Consider the following 8231-nt stretch of genomic DNA (forward strand, 5'->3'; position numbering starts at 1 on the left):
GTTCCAGAGTCCTCACCATTGTGGCAGAAGGCAAATGAGGAGCAAAGTCACGTCTTACATGGCGGCAGGCAAGAGAGTGTGTGCAGGGGATCTCCCCTTTATAAAACCATCAGATCTTGTGAGACTTATTTACTATTATGAGACCAGTATGGGAAAGACCTGCTCCCATGATTCAATTACCTCCCACCAGGTCCCTCCCATGACACTTGAGAATTATGGTGGCTACAATTCAAGATGAGATTTGAGTGGGGACACAGCCAAACCATATTAAATGGAGATACCACATTTTGTTTATTCATCCATCGATGGATTTGGGTTGGGCTTCCACCTTTTGGTTACAGTGAAGAGTGCTGGTATGAACATGTGTGTGTGCAAATATCTCCTTGAGACCCTGGTTTCAATTCTTTTGGATGCATACTCATGAAGTGAAATTGCTGAATCATATGGTAATAGAATCATAGAATCTATAGAATCATTTGGTAAATGAATTTAAAGTAATTTTAATTTTTAATTTTTGAGTAACCACCCACTGTTTTCCATAATAGCTACACCATTTTACATTCCCACCAACAGTGCTCAAGGGCTCCAATTTCCCCACACCCTTGCTGACACTAGCAATTTTTTGGTTTTTGGGTCATAGTCATCCTAATGGGTGTGAGGTGATATCTCACTGTGGTTTTGATATGAATTTTCCTAACCTAGAACCAGTCCTGTAGAGGAAGTGGAAGTACCTCTGCAAGGTAGAGCCAGGCCCAGAGGCCAAGATGAAGGAATTGAGTTCAAGTCATAGCTTTGAGGTTGACTCCTAACCTGACACAACCCCATCAACGTCTCACTTTTCTCAACCATGCAATCAAGGATGCTAACACCATCCTACCTCTGTTTTCTGTATCACTACTAAGCAGCATTGCACTAATTTCCAAGGAAAACAAAGCTAATAACTTTGTTCCCAAGAGCCAGAGCCATATGTAAACATGAGGCACTCTGGGCAACTTGTCAAGGATCTACCTAAACACCCACAGAACAAGGCAGGACCCTGAAGTCACATCCCAGCTAACATTATCAGCAGCTCACTCTAAATCTTTCAGTGACATCTATATTAAAATATAATCCACTCTGAACCCAGTACTTAACAGTTTATCTGCACCATGAGCCCAACCATATGTCTCCACTTTTTGCCTCTTCAATGGCTTCAAACAAATTCAGAATTTTGAGTTTCCACTGTTTCGTTCTTGTAGCTACTAAGACAATAACAGATTAAATAGGATGAACCAAGCAGCCATACTTCTTGTAAAGTTATCCCCAGAGATAAATGTACAATGTTGTTTCAGAGGCTGTGGTGGTGTCTGCAGTGTAACTAAGGTTGACAGACTGCCTGCATGTGGGTGGCTGTCTCCTTTCCAGCTGTGACCAGCTGAATTATATCACCTGTCCCATTTGATGTATTAGGATATGCCCAAGCTCAAGATGCATGTTGCTGCAATAGGGAAATTAATGTCCACCACTGGAGGCAATTAATAATGATTAGGAGCAAAACAGCAGGGTTAAATCTGTGCATTTAAGAGAGTGTTCATACACTTTTATACTATATTTCAGTCTAGTTGCTCAAAGGAAAACAGAAAATCCTTTTGGGGGACTAGAACAATCTTATCTTAATTAACATGTAAACTTAGATGAAATGTCAAAATCGCTTCAATGAGACATGCTTATTCATTATTTACTTAATCCTCCCTTCCTGGGGTTAGAGAAAAACATTGCACAAAAGTAGCATAGTGTGGGGAGAAATGTTAAGACTGAGTCGAGACGCTTGTAGAACTCTTGCACTTATTGAATTGCTGCATTCAGTCCACGGATTGAGGTGAGTGAGAAATTCTTGCCTCTTTTATTTTACTATTCTGCAGTTACTATATTATAAAAAAGCAGGAAATTGGCAAACCATAGATTTGCAATGCTCAGTTTAGTGCAACTCCATAAAATCTGCCTGTAAAATGCTTAGTGGTAGGTAACTAACTTACATTTGGCGACTAAAATCTGGATGTAAATTTGAATAACAGAAACCTAAGCTGAACAAGGGATTTTCCTTCAAAGGTTCAGAAAATATTGAAAACTGATAGGTTATAAATCTGTCAGTTTAATGTACATAAACATACACGCACCTCTCACTAGGCATTTATGTCACCACGTGTTAGTGCAGAGCATATACAATACAAATATTTATTGATCAGTTATTTTATTAGGAAATTTCATTGAACAGATTCAAATATAACTGGCTGCCAGCTGGACTTTATAGCTCAGAGCAGATTATATACTTAACCTAAGAGATAATGCAATTCTCATTAATTAAAAACTATGAGATAAAGGTCTTGGAAAACTTCGAACCCTATTTTATTACGATGGAATCAAAAAGTAATTCCTTCTCTGTGAATCTGCAATGGCTACTGTGACTTTGAAGTTCTGTTGGCAACCTGGGCTCATGAGTCCAAGGCCACCTAAGGGCGTGGCTTCCCCTTGCATTTCCCTTCCGTTGTGCTTTCAAGAGTGTCTCAGTCTGCATGACCCTCCAACAGACTCAATTAAAAGCGAAAAATGCAGTCAATTATCAGTTATTTGGCTTACCTAACCCAGATATCCAGATATGCATTTGAACATAACTAAAATACTTGAATTTTTAATAGCACATATCAAATACTTGGCACCATTTTTCATGTGGATATTTAGTACCTTGTGCTCAAATAGCCACGCACTAGTTTAGTCCCAATTATTCATTCATGTATTTATTTATTCATTCATTTGTTCATTAAATAGTCTTTATGCCCTCATCACCCTTACTTTTCCATTTGCTTTGAAAATCTCACCAGGACTGAGCATGGCTAGGTTTCAGACAGAGTAAGCCTCTGGTTTATCTATCAATGGATCACATCACTTGGACTACATTGTTTTTATTATTTTTAGGAATCTGTTCATTCGACAGATATTTTTTGAGTACTCACCATGTGTAAAGCACTCTGCTGTATGGATCGCAAAGATAAAAAAAATAAAAGCACAAAAACTCTATTCTCAAGCTTAACGAAAGTGACCAAATGCCAACGTAGTGTTAGTCATTTTCCTCATTCTCACAACAAACCTGTGAAGTAGGCACTATTCCCATCTATACTTGAGGAAATGGCATCTCGAGAAGACTACTTTTTCCAGATGACTTTGATCTGTCCAAGTCACACAGTGGTGATGGCAGAGTCAGGATTCCAACCTCGGTCTTCTGTTTTCTGGCTCTGAGGTCTTGCCACCACACGGCACTTACCTCTTTAGGAGCTGGCCAGCCTAACGGCACATCTAGTGGTTATGTTTCCACAGCCAGGTGTGGATATTAGACCTTTGTCTAATATGCCAAAGACCTCTCTCTCAGTCAAACGTTCCTGGAATATCACTGGCAAAACTGCAGATTCATTGCATCTGTTCCAATTGTTAGACAATGCTGGTGCTTAAGGTGCAACTTCCCCGCCCATGCTCCAACCTCCATCTGCAAGTAAAGACAATATTGATCTTCCCAATGGCCCTGGCCCTTCCTCTGCATTTGCTTTTCAGCTTCCTGTTGGGTTCCTGGCTTTCTAGTCATGGGCCCTTTGGTGTTGACAATATGTTGGGCAGTTTCTTTTCAGTTTGATGAACTTGAGCTGCAGACTCAACTTGTTGTTCTGCCCCCTCCTCTAGTATAGCGCCCCCTGTAGGCATGGATGATCATCACCCACCCGCCTAGCCCTGGAGAGCCCACCTGGTGTGCCAGCCCCTGGTCCTCCTGCCCCTCCTTACCTCACCGAGGAGGAAGGCATGGGTAATTTGAGAAGAAGATGCCCTGGTTCTTAAATGGGGTACATTATAATCTTCTGGGGATTTGATTAAAAAATAGATACCTGAACCTTTCTCTAAACCTCCTGGATCTATAGAAGTGTGTTTCAGTCTGTTCCCCAGCTGAAGAGAAAGCACACAAAAACCTAAGAAGCACTGGTGCAATAAGAGGGTGCTATTGGCAAGCACACACCTTCCTACACTGGAATAAGAAACTTTATCAGGTTGAACCTTTTTTTAACCTCAAGAGAAAGACAAAAGGAAATAGCTAATTTGCTAATTATTTCAGAAGATTATTAATCTTGCAAGGTGTCACCACACAGACTTCAAACATGAGCAAAATCATAGGGATTGTACCCTTTTAGCATTTAGTAAAAGAAAATTGTATTTCCCTATTTAGAAAAAAAATCTGTATGCATTAGGGAACTGTTGGAGACCAGCCCTAAAGTTCTGAGGAGCTGTCCAAGAAACTGAGGATGAAAGATTTCACAGACTCAGTGCTTCTCCATTACCCAGCTCTGAGTCCAATTCAGCTCAAATGTTAGTGGGACATATATTGGACCCATATAGCTAATTTTAAAAGCCAAAATGTCAATGATAAGATGTACCTGAAAAAGAATTTAATAGGACGCCAAGGAAACACATTTTAAAACTCTTTATGTAATGGATTACGTTTATTGATTTGCATATGTTGAACCAACCTTGCATCCAAGGGATGAAGCCAACTTGATTGCAGTGGATAAGTTTTTTGATGTGCTGCTGGATTCAGTTTGCCAGTATTTTATTGAGGATGTTCACCTCGATGTTCTTCAGTGATACTGGCCTGAAGTTTTCTTTTTTTTGTTGTGTCTCTTCCCAGTTTTGGTAACAGGATGATGCTGGCTTCATAAAATGAGTTAGGGAGGAATTTTTTGCAATCTGCTCATCTGAAAAAGGTCTAATATCCAGAGTATGCAAGGAAGTTAAACAAATTTACAAGAAAAAAAACATCAAAAAGTGGGCAAAGGATATGGACAGACACTTCTCAAAAGAAGACATTTATGCAGCCAAAAAACATGAAAAAAAGCTCAACATCACTGACCATTAGAGAAATGCAAATCAAAACCACAATGAGATACCATTTCACGTCAGTCAGAATGGCAATTATTAAAAAGTCAAGAAACAATAGATGCTGGTGAGGCTTTGGAGAAATAGGAATGCTTTGGTAGTAATGTAGATTAGTTCCTGTTGGTAGGAATGTAAATTAGTTCAAGCATTGTGGAAGACAGTATGGTGATTCCTCAAGGATCTAGAACCAGAAATACCATTTAGCCCAGCAATCCCATTACTGGGTATATACCCAAAGGAATATAAATCTTTCTACTATAAAGGCACATGGACACTTGTGTTTATTGCAGCACTGTTTGCAACAGCAAAGTCATGGAACCAACCCAAATGCCCATTGATGATAGACTGGATAAAGAAAATGTGGTAAGTATACACCATGGAATACTACACAGCCATAAAAAGGAATGAGATCATGTCCTTTGCAGGGACATGGATGAAGCTGGAAGCTATCATCCTCAGCAAACTAACACAGGAACAGAAAACCAAACACTGCATTTTCTCATTCATAAGTGGGAGTTGAGCAATGAGAACACATGAACACAAGAAGGGGAACATCACACACCAGGGCCTGCTGGGGAGTTGGGGGTGAGGGGAGGAAAACTAGAGGATGGATCAATAGGTACAGCAAACTACCATGGCACGTGTATACCTATGTAACAAACCTGCACGTTCTGCACATGTATCCTGGAACTTAAAGTAAAATAAATAAATAAATAAATACTAATTATGACATTAAAAAACCTATTGGAAATGAAATATATTTTGCTTTGTGACTTGCAACCCAGTGTGACTTAATTATCCTGTATTTTCTTCTAAATGATCTCTGATAAAGAAATCTTTTTGCCAAAAAAAAAAAAACAACTAAAAACAAAAACCAAAAAACCCAAACCTCTTAGTGGGCCTTTTGCTTGGCTATTTTCTGCTTTAGTTAAGGATGCAGGCTTTCAAACACTGAAACATTAAACTTGTGTTTGGACTGGATTTGAGGAAGACAAGAAGCATTCATTGTTGAGGTCCCTGACCTCACAGGCATTATGACCCCGATGCCAACCTGGGCATGATGTGCTCCACGGAGGATTTTGGGCCCAGGGCTTTCTCTCTAGGTGACGGGCTTGAGTGTGGAAAGCTGACCCTTGGTGCATGGAGACTGACCAGCTGTGGCTTGACCTGCACACTGAGGATGGTGGCAATATTTGCTATTGAGGATGCCCAGCAGGAATTGTTGATGGCTGCCTAGTACCTGAGAGCAACTAGCAGATGGGCAGGGAGAAGCTCTGATGGGAGAGAAGCGTGGGTCAGTCATCTTAACTTTAAATAGAGTCAGTGTTCCTGACTTTCCTGCAACCACAATCAAAGGAAACAGCGTTGGAGGAGAGGAGAGAGTGAGTTACATACTGGCGTCACTCCCGGTATAGTGCATTTCCTTTGCCTGTACAGTGGACATAATGCTACCCACCTTGCAGGGCTATGAGGATTCAGCTGAATGAATGTGCTTAGCACAGAGCTTGGCACCTTGGAGGTGCCACTCGAGTGTAGTCTATTGCTACACTAGAGTGTAGTCTATTGCTGTATAACAAATTACCCCAAACTTGGCTACTGAAAACAATAAACATGTATTATGTCACATTTTCCATGGGACAGGGGACCAGGAGTGACGTAGTTGAGTGCATCTGGCTCCAGGTCTCCGTGAAGTACTCTCAAGGGCTACAGTTGGCCAGGACAGCAGTCACCTTATAAGGCTCAACTACTGCCAAAAGTTTTACCTCCACGCTCACTTACATAGTTGCTGGCGGGCCTCAGCTCCTTGCAGGCTGTTGCACTCAGGGCTTCAGGGTCCACCACACCACATGGCGTCTCCACAGGGTTGCCCACAACATGGCAGCTTGCTTCCACTAGGGCAAGTGATGAGAGACAGAGAGAGAACCCAAGACAGAATCCACAGACTTTCTAATCTCCAAAGTAACATTCAATCAATTCTGTCATATTCTGTTTTTTAGAAGAGATCCCACACTAAAGGTATTACACGAGGATGAGGCCATGAATGCCAGAAGGCAAGGACCGTTGGAGGTCATCTTACAACCTACCCACCAAAGCTTTGTCTTCAGTTTGGAGAAGTTTTGAGTTACTATTCGCAGCATACCAAGAACAGTATCTGCAATCAGTAACTGCCATGCAAGTATTTGTTAATAAAGGGTAAGTATTGTCTTGTGACACTTTTATAGAATATACATTAAGTGTACTGAGTTTCAATATAAACTGTATTTCTTATTGTGAGTAAAGGTCAAAAAAAATTTAGGATTTTGGTCTTTCACAGAAATGTGAAGCCCCTGAATGATTTCATCAGAGAGGAGTGGCACCATCAGGTTTACATTCTGAAAAGATGGCTTTGGCTGCAGTATGAAGAATGGGTTGAGGAGCTCATGAGACAACCAGGTGGGAGGCTCTCGCAGAAGATGAGGCAGAGATGATGGTGGCTCATGGGCAGGACTGAGAAATGGCCACAAGGACCCATGGGTGCTGATATTGCATGCAGAGATCTTGAGAGCTGTTTTGTGCATTCTGTGGCTGGGTCTTTGATCAGTGGAGAAAATTTTGTGATGGCATCTGAATCCACCTGGAACATCAGTGCCTGTATTGGTCACAGTTTTTCTGGTGGCAAATAACAAAATCCTTCTCTAGGTATCTTGAGTGCATCCCCTGTACCTCAGTTATAGTGGCTTTAGCTTCATTAATTCATTCACCTATCCATCTATCTATTCAGCTACTAATCACATTGTTCACTCCCCTCTGTGCCAGTTACTGCACCGGACACTGGGGATACAACCATGAAAAATCCAGGCACAGAGCCCACCTTTACGGGGGGTAAGAATCAAGTGGAGATAAGGAAATGGGTGACTTCCAACACAATGACAAGCCCAGGCAGGGTGGGATGGCAGCCCACTGTACAACTGTCTACTCAAGTTTGGGAGGCTGGTCAAGGAAGGCTTCCAAGAGGAGGTAATAATATAATAATATCTAGGCTGAGACCTGAGGAGAAGAAAGGGTTCACTAGGAAGGGAGAAGGAGGCCTGAGGAGATTGGCCTGTGCAGTGTGGGGGCTGTGAGAGAAGGATGATCTTTTCCAGCTTTCAAGTGGAAATCAGAATACGGATTCCTACAGGAGGTTCCCCGCCCCCTAACAGTTTGTGACGGTAAGGACAGGCCCCTGAGATGACTCGTCACATTTCCAAAAGTGGGATGGAACCTGCATAAGGCAAGCAGGACAAAGAAACTGCCTATGT

This window comes from Homo sapiens, chromosome 7 (genome assembly GCF_000001405.40).
Source record: "Homo sapiens chromosome 7, GRCh38.p14 Primary Assembly".
Taxonomy (NCBI): Eukaryota; Metazoa; Chordata; class Mammalia; order Primates; family Hominidae; genus Homo; species Homo sapiens.